The sequence below is a fragment of the Homo sapiens genome, chromosome 10 (assembly GCF_000001405.40).
Source record: "Homo sapiens chromosome 10, GRCh38.p14 Primary Assembly".
In the NCBI taxonomy this organism is placed as follows: Eukaryota; Metazoa; Chordata; class Mammalia; order Primates; family Hominidae; genus Homo; species Homo sapiens.
The window spans coordinates 61,976,908-61,995,064 of NC_000010.11; the positions used below are offsets into that span (position 1 = coordinate 61,976,908).

An 18,157-nucleotide genomic window follows, 5' to 3' on the forward strand; every position below is an offset into this window, starting at 1 on the left:
GTGCAGGTTTGTTACATATGTATACATGTGCCATGTTGGTGTGCTGCACCCATTAACTCATCATTTACATTAGGTGTATCTCCTAATGCTATCCCTCTCCCCTCCCCTCACCCCACAACAGGCCCCGGTGTGTCATGTTCCACTTCCTGTGTCCAAGTGTTCTCATTGTTCAATTCCCACCTATGAGTGAGAACATGCGGTGTTTGGTTTTTGTCCTTGCAATAGTTTGCTGAGAATGGTGGTTTCCAACTTCATCTATGTCCCTACAAAGACATGAACTCATCCTTTTTTATGGCTGCATAGTATTCCATGGTGTATATGTGCCACCTTTTCTTTATCCAGTCTATCATTGATGGACATTTGGGTTGGTTCCAAGTCTTTGCTATTGTGAATAGTGCTGCAATAAACATACGTGTGTATGTGTCTTTACAGCAGCATGATTTATAATCCTTTGGGTATGTACCCAGTAATGGGATGGCTGGGTCAAATGGTATTTCTAGTTCTAGATTCTTGAGGAATCACCACACTGTCTTCTACAATGGTTGAGCTAGTTTACAGTCCCACCAACAGTGTAAAAGTGTTTCTATTTCTCCACATCCTCTCCAGCACCTGTTGTTTCCTGACTTTTTAATGATTGCCATTCTAACTGGTGTGAGATGGTATCTCATTGTGGTTTTGATTTGCATTTCTCTGATGGCCAGTGATGCTGAGCATTTTTTCATGTGTCTGTTGGCTGTACAAATGTCTTCTTTTGAGAAGTGTCTGTTCATATCCTTTGCCCACTTTTTGATGGGGTTGTTTGTTTTTTTCCTTGTAAATTTGTTTGAGTTCTTTGTAGATTCTGGATATTAGCCCTTTGTCAGATGAGTAGGTTGCAAAAATTCTCTCCCATTCTGTAGGTTGCCTGTTCACTCTGATGGTAGTTTCTTTTGCTGTGCAGAAACTCTTTAGTTTAATTAGATCGCATTTGTCAATTTAGGCTTTTGTTGCCATTGCTTTTGGTGTTTTAGACATGAAGTCCTTGCCCATGCCTGTGTCCTGAATGGTATTGCCTAGGTTTTCTTCTAGGGTTTTTATGGTTTTAGGTCTAACATGTAAGTCTTTAATCCATCTTGAATTAATTTTTGTATAAGCTGTAAGGAAGGGATCCAGTTTCAGCTTTCTACATATGGCTGGCCAGTTTTCCCAGCACCATTTATTAAATAGGGAATCCTTTCCCCATTCCTTGTTTTTGTCAGGTTTGTCAAAGATCAGATGGTTGTAGATGTGTGGTATTATTTCTGAGGGCTCTGTTCGGTTCCATTGGTCTATATCTCTGTTTTGGTACCAGTACCATGCTGTTTTGGTTACTGTAGCCTTGTAGTATAGTTTGAAGTCAGGTAGCGTGATGCCTCCAGCTTTGTTCTTTTGGCTTTGAATTGACTTGGCCATGCAGGCTCTTTTTTGGTTCCATGTGAACTTTAAAGTAGTTTTTTCCAATTCTGTGAAGAAGGTCATTGGTAGCTTGATGAGAATGGCATTGAATCTATAAATTACCTTGGGCAGTATGGCCATTTTCACGATATTGATTCTTCCTACCCATGAGCATGGAATGTTCTTCCATTTGTTTGTGTCCTCTTTTATTTCGTTGAGCAGTGGCTTGTAGTTCTCCTTGAAGAGGTCCTTCACATCCCTTGTAAGTTGTATTCCTAGGTATTTTATTCTCTTTGAAGCAATTGTGAATGGGAGTTCACTCATGATTTGGCTCTCTGTTTGTCTGTTATTGGTATATAAGAATGCTTGTGATTTTTGCACATTGATTTTGTATCCTGAGACTTCGCTGAAGTTGCTTATCAGCTTAAGGGGATTTTGGGCTGAGACGATGGGGTTTTCTAAATATACAATCATGTCATCTGCAAACGGGGACAATTTGACTTCCTCTTTTCCTAACTGAAAACCCTTTATTTCTTTCTCCTGCCTGATTGCCCTGGCCAGAACTTCCAACACTATGTTGAATAGGAGTGGTGAGAGAGGGCATCCCTGTCTTGTGCCAGTTTTCAAAAGGAATGCTTCCAGTTTTTGTCCGTTCAGTATGATATTGGCTGTGGGTTTGTCATAAATATCTCTTATTATTTTGAGATACCTGTGGGACAGAAACTTCCAAAGGTACTGAGTGTGAGATGCAGCCAGCCACGACACAGAGCTCATCGGGAGAATTCCACGGGAGACCCGAGTACACATGGCCTGCCAGTGGGAGGTGCTGCACCCAAACCTCTGCAGCACTGGACAGTGATGCATTTTTGCAAGCCATCTGAGTTCCTCAAAGTCCTTTCTTAGGTCCTACATTAGTGAGTTTCCTCTGGGAGAGGAAGCAACTTTTGGCATTGTGGAACAGTTATTTAAATACTTGTGGCAAAGAAGAAAAGTCTAATATTAGAGCAGGAACAGAGACTTTAGACATCATGGAATCCAATCTTGTTTTTGTTTTTTAAATTCCGTGTTCCTGGTGAGCCATGTAGATCGTAGGAAGGATTTCACAGAGTCGATGGGAGAACTGGAGGAGGGCTTGGTTTACATCCACACTCCATGCAAACACTAACGTCATCACTCCCAGCCAACACTTCTCCCCATGACTCTTCAACTGGTTCCCAATTGGAGGTCTTTTCTCCAGGCGTCTCCCACGTGGAGGCCCCTTTTGCAGAACACCACTGCCAGGACCACTGCCCTTCCAAATGTCCTTCCCCAGCTCCAAGTCCTTAGCAAACCAGGGGTCTACCCTCTATCCAGGTCTGGCACAAACAGTAGCCACAGCAACCACAGTGATTAGGGCCCATAGTACTTTTAAGGACCCACAAAAATGCCTTTAGTCCTTTTAAAACGAGAAGAAAACACGATGACCTCTTCAGTCGAAAAATATGTTTTAGGCCGAGCGTGGTGGCTCACGCCTGTAATCCCAGCACTTTGGGAGGCCAAGGTAGGCGTATCACCTGAGGTCAGGAGTTCGAGATCAGCCTGGCTAACATGGTGAAACCCCGTTTCTACTGAAAATACAAAAAATTAGCCAAGCGTGGTGGCACATGCCTGTAATCCCAGTTACTCAGGAGGCTGAGGCAGGAGAATCACTTGAACCCGGGAGGCAGGGGTTGCCGTGAGCCAGGATCATGCCATTGCATTCCAGCATGGGCAACAAGAGCGAGACTCTGTCTCAAAAAAATAAAACAGAAAAATATGTTTTAATACATTATTTATATATTTATCTGTGTACCAATGTAGTCCTAAAATGTGACTTTTAATCTTTTCCTATGGAGGAAGGGGCTCAGGAGGGCAAAGTGCCTAGAGGCTAATGGAAGCCACAGGCAGTGCTGTCTTTACCTGGTCACAGTCTCCCTAGAAGACAGTGACTCTGTCATTTTACAGAGCCAGAGAATGAAGCCCTTCTTTGCCCATGGTTACAAATCCAGTGCCTGTTTCATATTTCTCCTCCTTATGCTGCCTCTTCATAAGGCATCGCCTTGATTTCTTCTTAAAACGATTTATTCTGGGGCTGATTTTTCCCAACCTTAATGTAATTGTACTTTAATCAATAAAAAATTTCCTGTGGAACAACTGGGAGGGGTGGGGAGGAGAGAAGCCCAGCAAATGTGAATTGTTGTTTATTTGTCTCTCTTAAACAATGTTTCACGTTAAACCAGTTGCAAATGAAATGAATTGTATTATAACCATCTTGGAAAAATAGCTGCTGATCTCATAAATTCATCGAGCTTCCTGGTTCCAAAGCCCTCTCTTACAATAATAGTAAGTGTTGCTGTGCTCAGTAAATATCTGCCTCCACTTGGCTGGTAGTGAAGGAACTAGAATGGCAAACCCAAGATGGGCCCCCCTTCTGCCTCCTCCAAAATCACAGGTTTTGTGCTGACCCTGAACAGGAATGGAGAGGAACATGGCTTCCCAGGACAGTGACTACTGTCCTGTCTCCTAGGATGCCAGTATCCCAAATATCATCACTCACCCAGTAGGTTGCTCCTCTGGGCACCTCCACTGCCTTGCGTCTGTTCTCAGTGCTGCTTCCGTGGCATCTGCCTTTGTGTCATCGGTTCATCTGGGCACAGGCCTCTCTCAGAACTTATAAGCAGTGGCTATGACTGTGGGCTTTGGAATCAGACAGACCTGGGTTCCAGAGTCACCTTGAACAGGTTGCTTAATCTCTCTAAGCCTCAATTTCCTCATCTATAAAATGGAAGCAGTAAACTTATCCCTCATAGGATTGCTACAGTGATGAAATACACATCAAGGGCTTAGAGCTTGCCTGTCTGTAGTGCATGTTCAATCAAAGGCAGCTGTATTCTAGCAGGACAGTGCAATAACTGAACACTCTTGGTGGGTAGCCTGAGTTTTGTTTTGTTTGTTTGTTTGGAGACAGAGTCTTGCTCTGTCACCCAGGCTGGAGTGCAGTGGCGCACTTTCCACTCACCGCAATCTCTGCCTCCCGGGTTCAAGCGATTCTCCTGCCTCACCCTCCCAAGTAGCTGGGATTACAGGAGCATACCACCACACCCAATTAATTTTTATATTTTTAATAGAGACAGGGTTTTGCTATGTTGGCCAGGCTGGTCTCAAACTCCTGACCTCAAGTGATCCACCCGACTCAGCCTCCCAAAGTGCTGGGATTATAGGCATGAGTCACCATGCCTGGCCTGAGGTTTTTATCTTTTTTTTCCCTGTAGTTTGGCATTAAATGTCATAATGACTGTGGTGTTAATAAACATCAGGAAGTGTGCTTGGCAGTTTGCAAACTGGACCTTATCTTACCTGTTCAGGTGTGTGAGATCTTCTCAGAGATGGAACAAGTTCCTCAAGTTTATGATCTCAAAACCCACAATGTCTGTTCCTCAATGCAGGTCTCTTAACACCTGTCTGTTACATTATGTTGGTCATCCAAGGATGCATTAAGCAGAAAAGAAACACCTCACCTAGGTGTTACTAAATTCCATTATCCTCCTGTCAGACGTCCATGGTGGGAGAGACTTTGGTCCCCACCAACCTGGGTTTCTGCAGGGTTTCACTACCTGCCTTTTTATAGAGTCTTGTATAAGACAAATGGCATTTTAAGCTGTTTTTCTTTTTGCAGGTTTGGAAATCTTATTTAAATCAATGTAATGAGACACTTTGAACAAAATGTAATCATTCTCACTTCTCCACGTGTTGGAAGAAGCAGTATAGAGTTGGAGACTTGGGGTTAGATTAGAGCTGGCTGTCTTCACAGATTTGCATCCTTGCCGTGTGCTCTGAGTTGTCACAGTGTATCAGATAGGTGGGATGTTTTTGCCTCTGTGCTAAGTAAATTACATTCTAGAAGAATTAAGAGGGCTGTTATTTCATGGTGATTTTTTAAAAAAAGTCAGACACCCCAGAACCGAGCTAGAATTGTTGGACCAGTTTTCTTCCCTTTTCTTCTTGGCCTCCTTCTTGTCAAGAACAACTGTTCTCCAGTTTTCAAGAAGGCTCTGTTGAAGTGGAAACATAAGCCTCCATTAAAGTATAAGGGTTTGCGAGGAGGTCAAGGGAGTCATTACTTTGTCTTTTACAACAAGGATGTATTTATATATTCTGAGTTAAAAAAAATGCTTTTAAAGAAGGTGTGAGCAAAGATAAAAATTATTTCTTACAGCTAAAGAAAAGTAGTCTCTTCATCGTTATCCATGAGGGAATAACTCATTGACACTTATAAAAGAGCGTCCTAGCCCAAGATATCATGTGGTGGGAAATTTGATTGGAAGAATCTCTTCCACTAACTTGTGCATGAGAATATTTGTTCCAGCTCCAAAGCCTTAGAAGCTGTTAGAGAAAGGTGGGAGGGTATTTGGCTGGCCTTGGGAAATGGTAACCTAACACTGGAAGCCCCTTGCTTTTGTTCTCCTTATTGTACATAAGAAGATGAGATTTTATTTCCAGATTTCAAAACACGGACCAACTTGCAATAAGAAATAAACCCCCGCCAAGGTGATGAATTATGTTGCTTTTTAATTTAGAAACTGGCCCTCCGATCAGAAAGAGTAAGGATGACTTTAAATAACCAGATTGATTTGCAGGTTGGGGCAAAGTAGAGGGATCTGGTGGATCTCAGAGACTCTTTCTTGGCTGCCTAGAACCTCATATTGAGGCTCCTTCAGAGGCTGCTTGTGTGAGCCTCTGACTAAATCCTTAAAATAACTGCTGTTGGAAGTCCTGTAAGTTTCAAAATTTGTTACTGGAGCAAGGAAAGGGTGTGTTGGGTGTCTCACTCGGCTTGAAGTAAGGACCTGAAAGCTTAGCAGCCAATAAAAAGAGAATTAGGGGAAGATGAATATTAATTTTAGGAAATACAAACCTCAGTTTTCTCATCCAAGCCCTTCCTTTCCTCCTCCTCCCATTTAGAATTGAAGAATTGCAATGGCTTTGACTTAAAAGGATAAGAAAGAGTAGTGATTTTCTTAAATCGGAGGAGACAAACATGGAATTTTTATAAAATGTAATATTTGCTGGTATTTAAGTATACTTTGGTGGTATCTTGGCTGGCGTTCAGAGACTGTTGAAATCATCTTGATTGTGAAAAGTCGCTAAATGGAGCTGTTAAATTGTGCTTCGCAAATTACATTTAGCTGCAAAGTATTGGTTCAGTCTAGGCCTCCTGAATGATAACACCTATTATATAGATGTTCTCTGTCCACATCCCACCTGAGGAAAAAAAAATCACATCAGGTTTGAAGTTCAGTTGAGGCAAATTTTATATTAGTAATATCGTTCATTATTGAGAGAGATCTCGGCTGCTGACCTGCGTATGAAGCACTTGCCCCATGGAAGTTGTGGCAAGCCAAGTGCCAGAAAAAAAAAAAATGAAAAAGGAAATATTTAAATGGTAGACTATGTACTTGATGTATCCATTTTTCTTCTGCATGAACCCAGTCATAATCCAAATTATATTTTTTAAACCCCCTTTTGTTCTTTTTTTTTTTTTTTTTTTTTTTTTTTTTTTGAGACGGAGTCTCGCTCTGTCGCCCAGGCCGGACTGCGGACTGCAGTGGCGCAATCTCGGCTCACTGCAAGCTCCGCTTCCCGGGTTCACGCCATTCTCCTGCCTCAGCCTCCCGAGTAGCTGGGACTACAGGCGCCCCTTTTGTTCTTACTGTTGTACCAACCATAGCTTTTAAAATCTCAGACTCAGAGATGAAATACAGAACATCTTTTTCAGAGCTGGGACATAAACACCTTCAAAGTGCTGAGCTCTGGGATGTGCTTTACGTTTTAATTATTCATCCCCTGGGCTCCACTGTTTCTTTGGGAGCCACCAACTCCTCCTTGGTCTGGAGTCTCATCTGTTTTCTCCATCAATGGAGGATAGGACTGGGAGCTCCCTGAGAGCAGGTGCTGTCATGTTCACCCATGTAAACCCACTGCTGAACACAGCATTTGGCACTGAGTAGGAACCAAATAAAGGTTCGCTGACTGCATGAGGAAAGCATAGACATTATCCTTGCATATCTACATAAGGAGACTTAGGTTACTCTTCCTGGGATCTTGCCCTCAGATGCTGCTTGCATGGTCTCTTTCTCCCTTGAAGAGACTTCATCTGGACATTGAACGTGGTCTTCCTTGAACTGGGGCCAGTGGAGCTTGCTCATGTGGAGGCAGCAGGTGGGGGGGGCCTCAGTCAGCTGAGTGAAAGGAGGAAGATGAAGGCTAAGGTTTAGGTACAACAATCCTCCAATATATCCTCCACTCTTGCTGGAATGGAGAGTAGGCCCATCACTACCATGCATGAGCGCAGCCTCGCTGCCTTCAGGATTTAATAGAAAACCCATAGCATTGCCACCAAGGTTCTCTCAGAGTTCCAAACCCGTATTTCAGACACAGCACCTAAATTCCAGAGTCCTCACTGGTTCATACCAGTTACAGCCCTGGGGACAGGAGATTCTCCTCTCTCCTTCTGACCTTTTGAGGCAGCAGGGGCAGGCAGACCCACACATTGGGCCCAGATCTATTCTCCAGGCCTCCTTAGCTGTGTGACTGTTGTTAAATTACTTAATCTCTTTTTGGCATCAGTTTGCCCATCTGAAAAATGGGGCTCATAATAACTTCCTTAGGGCTGCCCAAAGGAGGAGAGAGAATGTTCATGACTGACAGGCTGGAAAGATTAATGAGTCATGGTATTTTAATCTGCCTGGGGAGTTTCTATGTATCCTTCAAAAGTTAGCTTGAGGGGTTTCTCTTCCCTGCGAAGACTTTCTTCACTCTCTTTGCTACCAAGATTCTGCCTCTGCTGTGACTCTTGTCAGAACACTTACTTGTATTAGGTTGGTGCAAAAGTAATTGCGGTTTTTGCAATCCTGTTTAATGACAAAAACCGCAATTACTTTTTGCACCAACTTAATACATCTGTTCACATGCCCACCACCTTTTCTAGGCTATACACCCCTCTTTAAAGAGGGATGGTGGCTTTTGGTCTTTATCCTCTTGCCACCTGCTACTTCTTAATCCACAGAAGGTATTCCCTTGGTGTCTGACCAGCCAATAGATGGAAGACCATTTTGATGTTAAATCCTTTTTTTTTAACCACATATTATGTTAATCCATTTATATGAAATGTCCAGAATAGGCAAGTCTATACAGACAGAAAGTAGATGAGTAGTTGCCAGGGTGTTAATGGGTATGAGGTTTCCTTTTGGGGTGATGAAAATGTTCTAAATTGATTGGAGTGATGGTTGCATTGTGAGTGTCCTAAAAAACATTAAATTACATATATGTAATCGTATCATTTTTAATCTTATCTTTTTGAGGATACAATGGGTGCAATTGTGTGAGCTACGTGTGTATGATGAGAATCAGGTGGTTGTGGATCTTTGTCCCGGGATCAAAAGAGGAGAAGTAATAGAGAGAAATAATAATACCATTGTCTTCACTTAGGCTGAAATGTGCTTTCTAAGGGGTTAAAAGTAAAGAATTGTGCTGGCGAGGTGTGTTCTGTGCAATGGTCATCTGTTTTTGAGATTATCTTCCAAATAAGGCAACACCAAGCTTCACTTAGGGATTGTTTTGAACACAAGACTGGAAGAGATTCTTTAATACTGCAATCTGAAACCAGAAATTTGCGTCTCATAAAAATCACGAGAATTCTCAAAGCCACCAGCCCACTGGAGGGTCTCTGAGAGGTACCTGGGAATACCATGAATCTGACAGGGCTCTTCTCAGAGGTTCAGAGTCAAGCAGAAGGCAGCTGGGGTGTGTTGAGAACAGTGTGAGATTTAAAATAGTGCCAGGCAACTTGCCCCTGCCATTAGCTGGATGACCTTGGGCAAGTCATTCACCTCATTGAGCTGCCTGTGTCCTCCTGTATAAAATGGGACTATTCTTGACAGACCCTAAGAGAGATTCTAGGAGGATTGAATGAATCTAAGCACATGAAAGGGCTTTATAAATTTGGGAGTGTTATACAGATGAGTGATTATACCATGCATAATAAACTATTTGTAATTATACAGTGTTAAGCTGGCTGTGTGTGCTGAGAAGGAGAGCTGAAGGGAGCAGGGCAATTGCTGTAATCAACATTCGGGTGTGTTATGTCCCCAAAATGTGATCAGGGAAACACTAACTTGTTGAGGTGAGCCATGAATGACAAAAAAGTGGGGGAGGGTGAGGAAGCGGATGGGAGAGGATTTCATGGTAAAATAAAGTCAGAAAAAGCAGCATCTTCCCCCCTGTGCATTAAAATGTCCATTAGCATGTTAAAGGCTCCAAGCTGTTTGTGTAACTTTTTGTTAAACTCAGTGTTTCCCGTGCTGTGGTGCCCCTTTTCCACATAACCCTTGGTAACATACTCCCTTCTTTCTCAAGGAACTAGTGTTCCTTGGCATACTTTGGAAAACAGCTTGCAAAGCAATAATCAGACAAGTACCTACGGGGCGTTCACTGTGTGCTACATTAGCCTGACTACTTTGCATCTTTTAACTACTGTTAAAGACCCCCCAGGAAGTCACTGTTCTTAAGTCCATTTTACAGTTTGGGAACCCAAGGCTTAACAAAAGGAACCAAAGGAAGACTATAGAGATGGGGTTAGGGTGAAAAGAACCATGAAGACATCTGGGCACTAGTAAGAAGCAAGAGGAAGACATAGTGCTACCTGGTGAAAGCTGCCGTCAGGGTGGAGCTGTGGCCTTGGCCAGAGCTGCCAGGCCAAAGCAGAGATGGGGCAGAGAAGAAATATGACAACTTCTCACTCTTTCCCACATGCGATCTGTTAGGTGTCTCCCATTGGCTGAACAAGCAGAAGCCAGCCAGCCCATGAGGGAGCCCAATGATACAACATTCAGGGGTCACAGAGCAAGGAAGAAAGAATGGGTAATAGATCCGGGAGTAGGATGAGAACAGAGGGACAGTGAATAACCAGAAAAAGAACCAACATTAATTAAAAATCTATCATGTGCTTCGCTTGTTTCCAGGGTGTTAGGAATTCAGACATGCTACAGACCTAGCTCCTGCCCTTCAAAGAACCCATATTCTGGAAAGGAGAGTCCAGCTTGAACAAGTAAATGCAGCCAAGTGTTACAGAGTAACTGTATCTTAGAAATTAAGCTGATATTCGTGATCCAAAATAGCAGATTTCTGGCAGCAAGACTATATTCTCTAGATCAAGGGTCAGCAGAGCCAGATAGTAAATATTTTAGATTTGTGCACCATAAGGTCTCTGAGGCAAATGCACCACTCTATAATCACACAACTGTGCCGTCGTAGTGTAAAAGCAGCCAAAGACAATATGTAAATGAATGTGCATGACTATGTTGTAATAAAACTTTATTTACAAAAACAGGTGTTGGGCTGAATTTGGCCCATAGTTTGCCAACCCTTTCAAACAGAAATAACCTTAAAGAAATATCTGAGAGATACCCAGAAACAGGGATCTGTAGCACTGGTAACTCATGGTATGAAACCACAGAACTATCACTGGAATTAATATAGTAGTCACGAGCAATTTGTTTATTGTCTTTTATGAGAAAAGAGAGGTAGGTTTGGATGTTAGAGATTGGGGAAAAGGGGATATTTGCTGTGGAAATGATTTTCAGCAGATGGTAGGTACTTTGGGAAAGGTGGCTAAACTAGAGCCATCCTCCTCCTGTCTTACATCAGCTTACTCAGTACTAACCCTGTACAAAAAGGAAGTAAAACAGAGCACATCTGTATCATCAGCTTTCAATGATGTTCTTCCATGGTGCACTGTGACAGCACATTAGAAGGTGCCGGAGTTTTTATATGACTGCTTTGCCGTGAGATTAAATAGTGGTTTCAGTTTCCAGTAGGTTTCATAAGTATCTCTTTCAGCTGTTAAATTACTTTTAGTAATGTGCACACTAGAAAAAGAAAGAAAGAAATATCCATTCTGAACAACTGGGTGTCATGACAGAAAACAGAGCAGATGGTTTTGTGGACATGGCACCAAGTGAACCTGTAGCTGGTTACAGCAGAAGGATATGTTTAACCCAGAGGAGAGGGCTCTCACCAGGTCTTAACAGTTGAAGCTTTTAAGAGATTATTATTTTACTTTGAATTGATTTTTGTTATTCACCAGAAACCAAAGGTGGCAAGCGAGAATCTCTACTAAAATAACTATACTTGCTAACTTTGGGTCTTTGTTGGGGCTTTGGGGTATCAGAACAATGAAATAACAGGCACTGTGAGGCTTTTCCTCCTGTTCTGTTCTCCTCTCCTAGCTATATTTCAGAACATCTTATCTCAAGATAGTTGGCCAAAAGGAACCTGTACACAGAACAACCTCATTTTTCCCAAGTGCCTCTTCGGACCCAGGACACAATGATTTTAAAATTTCTTTTCAGGCAGACGCTCTAAAGAGAGCTATGCTGTTCAATAAGGTAGCCACTAGCCACCTGTGACAACTAAGCCCTTGCAATGTGTCTTGTCCACTTCAAGAGATGCTATAAATGTAAAATACACACTATATTTTGAGAGCTTACTATGAAAAAATAATGTAAATATGTCACTAGTAATCTTTTTTTTTCTTTTACTTTTTTTTTTTTTTTTTGAGTCTTGCACTGTCGCCCAGGCTGGAGTGCAATGGTGCAATCTCGGCTCACCGCAACCTCTGCCTCCTGGGTTTAAGTGATTCTCCTGCCTCAGCCTCCCAAGTAGCTGGGACTACAGGCATGTGCCACCATGCCTGGCTAATTTTTTGTATTTTTAGTAGAGACGGGGTTTCGCTGTATTAGCCAGGATGGTCTCGATCTCCTGATCTCAAGATCCGCCCACCTCAGCCTCCCAAAGTGCTGGGATTACAGGCGTGAGCCACCGTGTGCGGCCAGTAATCACTTCTATTGATCACATGTTAAAATAATATTTTGGATATACTGGGTTAGATAAAATAGCTTACTAAAGTTAATTTCACCTGTTTTCTGTTTACATTTTCAATGTGTTAATTACAAGTTGGCTCACATTGTGTTTCTATTGAATAATGCTGCTCTAAAAGATTTTTGAAAAAAATAATCCATGTATTCCTTTGCCCAGTTTTAAGTGGACATCTACATTTTTAATCATGTTTTGAATAAATTTTGTGTTAATAAGTAAAAAATGTTAAACATGATAGGAAATGAAATAAGATGGTGATTAACTATAATTAGAAGACATATTACATATGATTTGATAAAAATCTGAAGTTTAAATCTGTGTTTAATAAAGCACAACAGTTCTAAAATAAATTATCTAAAATTTTTATGCATAGGTTTATGCAGTTTATGTCAAAAAATCTGGTAGCCTTGCCGTGCATTCCAGCTACACTTTAATGGATCAGCATCGTTAACCTTTATTAGTTTGGCTTTTCTGAATTTAGAGCATCATAACACAGGCCAAAGTACTCTATTTCTAATGCTAAGCTTCCTCTTGAACAGAACTATGTGCAAAAAGGGAAAGATCAAAAGGCTATGGCTTGAGGTTCCTTGATAGATCAATAAGGAAGCATCTCCAAAACCAATACTTTGATTTGACTCTTTAGTGCTCATAATAGGACTAGGGATGGAGGATGGGTGAAGAAGGAGATGGGCTGTTCTGATTGCTGGCTCATTCTTGGGCAGATGCATTAGGGAGTGGAGTAGTATCTAAGTTGAAGATCTGCCCCATCCCTATGTAGGTTCCCTTTAAAAAGTCTTCTCGTACCCTCAAAGGAGAGATTCACCATTTTGAAGACCACTGATTTAAGATGAGTCACTGACAGAGGCAAGAGGCCTTTTCCCTTCTTTCCTTGTTGAGCTGCCCCAGAAGCCCTGCGGTAAGGTGAAGGAAAACAATGCAACCTATAAAAGTGCTCTTGACACAGATGTTAGCTCCCAGAAGTCAGTGCAGTTGCAGAGGTGGCTCAGCACTTAGAGCATGGTGGACAAACTCCTCAAGTGGCGAGATTATTTTATTTTTTAAAGTCACTAAAATGAGATGACTGCCTAACCACATGACCCTTTGTCTAAAAAAGGCCTGCCAGGCAGTGGCTACAGTCATGTTGGGCAGATAACCTTCTCCAGATTCCTTCAGCCTTTTAGGAAGTGTCATTGGTTCAGAGCCTGTGGTGAACTAATGAAATGACTGCTCTTATCCTTTGGAAGAAGGCTCAGATGTTTACTGCAACACTGTCTGTAGGCAATTACATTTGTCAGCACTCTCAAAGGTCTAGGAGGGATACCAAAGAATTAGGACACCGATTCTGTGCCCTCCAGGATATATTCTAGTTGTGGATTGGAGAGACACCACTTTTCCTCCCCAGAGCAACCAAGCATGCATCTACACAGAAAATATAACCCTTCCCAGATGTTCCCCTCTTTGTCATTGTTGTGTAAAATAGACATAACATAAAATTTATTATTTTAACCATTTTTAAGTGCACAATTCAGTGGCATTAAGTACATTCACAATATTGTGTAACTGTCACCACTATCTATTTCTAGAACTTTTTCACCATTCCTAACAAAAACTTTGTATGCATTAAGCAATAGCTCTCCATTCCTTCCAACCCTCCTAGACCCCCTGCACCTAGCAACTTCTATTCTATTTTCTGTCTCTATGAGTCACCCTGTTTTGTGATTCCACTTTTAAATACCTCGTATAAGTGGAATCACAATATTTATCCTGTACACACACACACACACACACACACACACACACCAAATTTTGTTATCTGTTCATCTATTGAGGAACTATTGGGTTGTTTCTACCTTTTGGCTATTTTGTGATAATGCTACAATCAACATTGGTATGTAAATAACTGTTTTTGAGTCCTTGTTTTTAATTCTTTGGAGTATATACCTAGGAGTGGAATTATCACATGGCAATTCTGTATATAAATTTTTAAGGAAGTCCCATACTTTTTCATCATGGCTGCACCATTTTACATTCCCACCAACAATGCACAGGGGTTCCTATTTCTCCACATCCTTGCCAACACTTGGGATTTTTTTCTTTTCATTTTTATAATAGTCATCCTACTGGGTGTGAAGTAATATCTCACTGTGGTTTTGCTTTACATTTCCCTAATGAAGAGCATTTTTTAAGATGCCATTTATATATATTCTTTGGAGAATCATCAAAGTCCTTTGCCATTTTTAAATTGGTTTGTCTTTTTGTTACTGAGTTGCAGGAGTTCTTTATGTATTCTAGTTATTAATCCCTTATCAGGTATATGCTTTGCAAATATTTTCCCCCTCTCCAAGACTGTCTTTTCACTTTATTGATAGTGTCCATTGATGCACAAAAGCTTTTAATTTTGATGAAGTCCAGTTGTCTATTGTTTGTTGTTTTCTTATGTGCTTTTGGTATTATGGTTAAAAAATCATTGTGGAGGCCAGGCACGGTGGCTCACGCCTGTAATCCCAGCACTTTGGGAGGCTGAGGTGGGCGGATCACCTGAAGTCGGGAGTTCGAGACCAGCTTAAATACCATGGAGAAACCCTGTCTCTACTAAAAATACAAAAAAATTAGCTGGGTGTGGTGGCGCATACCTGTAATCCCAGCTACTGGGGAGGCTGAGGTAGGAGAATCGCTTGAACCCAGGAGGTGGAGGTTGCGGTGAGCTGAGATCACGCTATGGCACTCCAGCCTGGGCAACAATAGCGAAACTCTGTCTCAAAAAAAAAAAAAGTGAATGGCTGACTCTAGCCAAAGTTTAACCCATGTGACGGGGAAGCAAGTTAAGGTAAGTCAGGCCCCATAGAATAACACCTCATATGTGGTAACAACTTTACCTACATGTCAATCTGGCCATGAAGTCTCACCTGTTGCATAATCCCTGTCTAGTGTGACATTTAAATTTAAATGTGGCTAAGATGAACCCTATGGCAATAAGCTGCAAAATTCTCAAGATAAAAAGTGGCTCCCGGTCGTGGCTTAGAATTCAGTGACCCTTTGGGACAACCTTGGAGGTGGAGTTGGCTTTCTTCCCACTGCGTTCATTTGTTACTCAGAGTGGTAGCAGTGTTTGGTTATAGTTTAGTTTTGTGATGTTTTTTTTCTTGAGTGATGAAGCAATAGTGAGGGCAAAAGCTGATAGTAACATTTTGATACATATTTTTGTATTTGTCTATGCCTCTATTTTAAGTGGTTTGCTTTTGAAAACAGCTGGTTCAAACCCTTGGTTTTGGGTTTGAAATATTCTTTGTTTTGTTTGCATCCATGTACTGATATATTTTTCCCACATTTACTTTTTTTTAAGTTCTCCAGTGATGTTTTCGTTGCCTATCCTGGGAAGATCTGTGTTTCCATTTAGCAAAACAAATGGCAAGCTGGGGACCATTTAAAGTAGTTTTTTTTTAGTTAATAAAGCCAAGCCAATCTCCTTGTTCTGTTATGTTAAAAGTACATTATCTTTTTATTGCCAGTTCTGTATGGCTAGTTCTGTTTTCTGTCTCAGCAATCTCAGGGCTGCCCCACTTGCTTACTGTGTCGAGAATTACAAAATCATTAAGGGTGGGGCAGCACCAGCTGACTTACAGTACAAACCATTTCTCAAAATAACCACAACAGTGCAATACTGATGTGTAATTTACGTCACAGTTTGTTTTTATGAAATAGTTTGTGGCATTTTCATTTCTATTCCGGATGGAATCTTGTTCTCTTTCCCTTTTAATCAGGCATTTAATTTATTTTTATTATTAATATTTTCCACTCCTTGTTTTGGCATGCCTCCAATTTAACAGCTTTGATGAGGAAGGGAGATACACACACACACACACACACACACACACACGCACACACAACTGATCTTCCCTGACTCCAACTCTTCAACATCAGTTTAACTGCAAATGTGTTTTCCCCTTTGATGTGTACTAACTTTGGGTACTAAGTTTACTACCTTAAGAGAGATTGAAAAATACGGCAGGACACAGTACACATTTACATAGAGCTATAACCACGAATTGATAAAGTTGATGTACAACTTTGGAATTTTAAACACTTTCAACCAATTCAAGCTATTTAGTCATATGCTCTGCTGCATTTTCCTTTTACAAATGTCTTTCTGTATAATGTCCTGTAATTAGAACAGGAAATCATTGAGTAACTGCAAGATGAATAAGAGCACTTAGACTGAAAGGAAAATTACCTTCCGAGAAATTATATTCTCTTTTTTTTTCTTCATGTTACAATGTTGGTAATGATAGTAACAGCTGTAGCTACTCTTATCTGTAGAATTTTCATGCTTAGGTTTTCTGGAATAAAAATTTCATTTTCAGTAATAATAAAAAATGCATGGACAGAAAATAGGAAATGCCTAATTGTGACAAATATTCGGTGTCACAACAGAGCAGCAATTAAATGGAAACTTCAATATAATTGTCAATAGCAGTAAGAATTGGAATAGCGCCAGGTATATAAAGTTGATGCTTTGCCGTTGGTTGGTTGCTAGGAGCACAGTGAAAAGTATAAAGCTTTGAGAAAAGAATGTCTAATGTAATAAAGTAACAGGAGGAAGCATAAATCATTGTGAGAACCTCACATATTGACATTATTTTGCTTAAATTGTTTCAAAACTAGACATCAAGCTTTATAACGTGAGCACATTCATATTTCCTTTAAAAAAAAAAGGAGAAAGAAAACTGTATGTTGTCTTTGAAGCACAAGGGACATTGTGTCTCAAACTTAGCCTTCATACATATTTGGAATCTTTTAAGTGAAAATCTTTAAATGTTTGTTTCTATTGGCATCCAAATGCATTTGCCCTAATACGATTAAGAGAACTAAAGGGCAAAATACTTGGCAGATTTTTCAGTTGAGGTAATTAGGTGCAGGAAGGAACATGCATATTTTTTCCACTAGGCTCTATAAAATCCTGGGGCGAAGGTTTTTTTTTAAAAGATTTTTTTTAAAAAACTTACTGATGTTAGAAGTAGATTATAGTGGTTTTCAGTAAGCATAATAGTGTGATGTTTCCGAAACAAGCCTCCCCTCACCCCAAGAATGAAAAAGAAAGTTACATTTCTAAATTGTTGTGTAAGAGATAAAAGCAAATTTCTCCTCTGGAATTTATGTTTTCAGCCTCCGTGCATTTGGCCGCCATTATCTATTTTCAAAAAATAGCATTATGGATATTTGAAAGTCAATGCTCCATTAATTCATTGTGTTTGCTATTTCATGCATCTCTCTTTGTACAAAGACAACTTGAGCAACCTGCTATTCAGAATGAAGGCCTGCTCTTACCCTTTCTCCCCGACTCCTTCCCCACCCCCAGCCCAACTCTGAGGATTAAAGCAATGGTATACAGTTACTGTTTGAAAAGCTTGGGTGGAGTCTCATGTTATAATTACAGTTTCGCTATGGAATTCTGTTTCGGACTTTGAAATATATAAATAAGTAAAAAATTGACATTGAGAGAGGTTAACAAAACGTGTAATTAAGAGTCATTTTGGTTGAGCATTACAAGCAGTGTACTTTAGGTATTAACTTTTAATAGGCAAAGTTCTTTTTATTGAAGTTGAAATGAGGTTTAGTAATGTTGGGTCTCTTATTCCCTTTGAATGTTTCATTTTAAAATAGGCATTCACTTTTTTTTGGTATAGGAGAAATTCAGGAATGGGATGACATTTTAATAGAATATCATAATTATGGTTTAAAATTTCAGTCTTGGTTACTAGCAATTTATTACAGATCATTTTCTGTTGACTGA

The 18,157-nt window shown here is 40.6% G+C and overlaps 1 protein-coding gene across 1 annotated transcript in view, besides 3 other annotated features; it reads left to right on the forward strand.

The window, feature by feature from the left end:
- ARID5B (AT-rich interaction domain 5B) overlaps positions 1–18,157 on the forward strand; it is a 195,246-nt gene that overhangs the window by 75,209 nt on the left and 101,880 nt on the right. The gene's annotated exons all lie outside the window — the stretch shown is intronic.
- Positions 9,354–10,016: an enhancer, noted in NCBI's record as "NANOG hESC enhancer chr10:63746020-63746682 (GRCh37/hg19 assembly coordinates)". NCBI's record gives its function as "activates a minimal SCP1, AML or CMV promoter by ChIP-STARR-seq in primed H9 embryonic stem cells {active_cell/tissue: H9 hESC(primed)}" and the evidence as "EXISTENCE:reporter gene assay evidence [ECO:0000049][PMID:30033119]".
- Positions 10,016–10,155: an enhancer, noted in NCBI's record as "active region_3401". NCBI's record gives its function as "activates an Ori minimal core promoter by ATAC-STARR-seq in GM12878 lymphoblastoid cells {active_cell/tissue: GM12878}" and the evidence as "EXISTENCE:reporter gene assay evidence [ECO:0000049][PMID:35858748]".
- Positions 11,256–11,505: an enhancer, noted in NCBI's record as "active region_3402". NCBI's record gives its function as "activates an Ori minimal core promoter by ATAC-STARR-seq in GM12878 lymphoblastoid cells {active_cell/tissue: GM12878}" and the evidence as "EXISTENCE:reporter gene assay evidence [ECO:0000049][PMID:35858748]".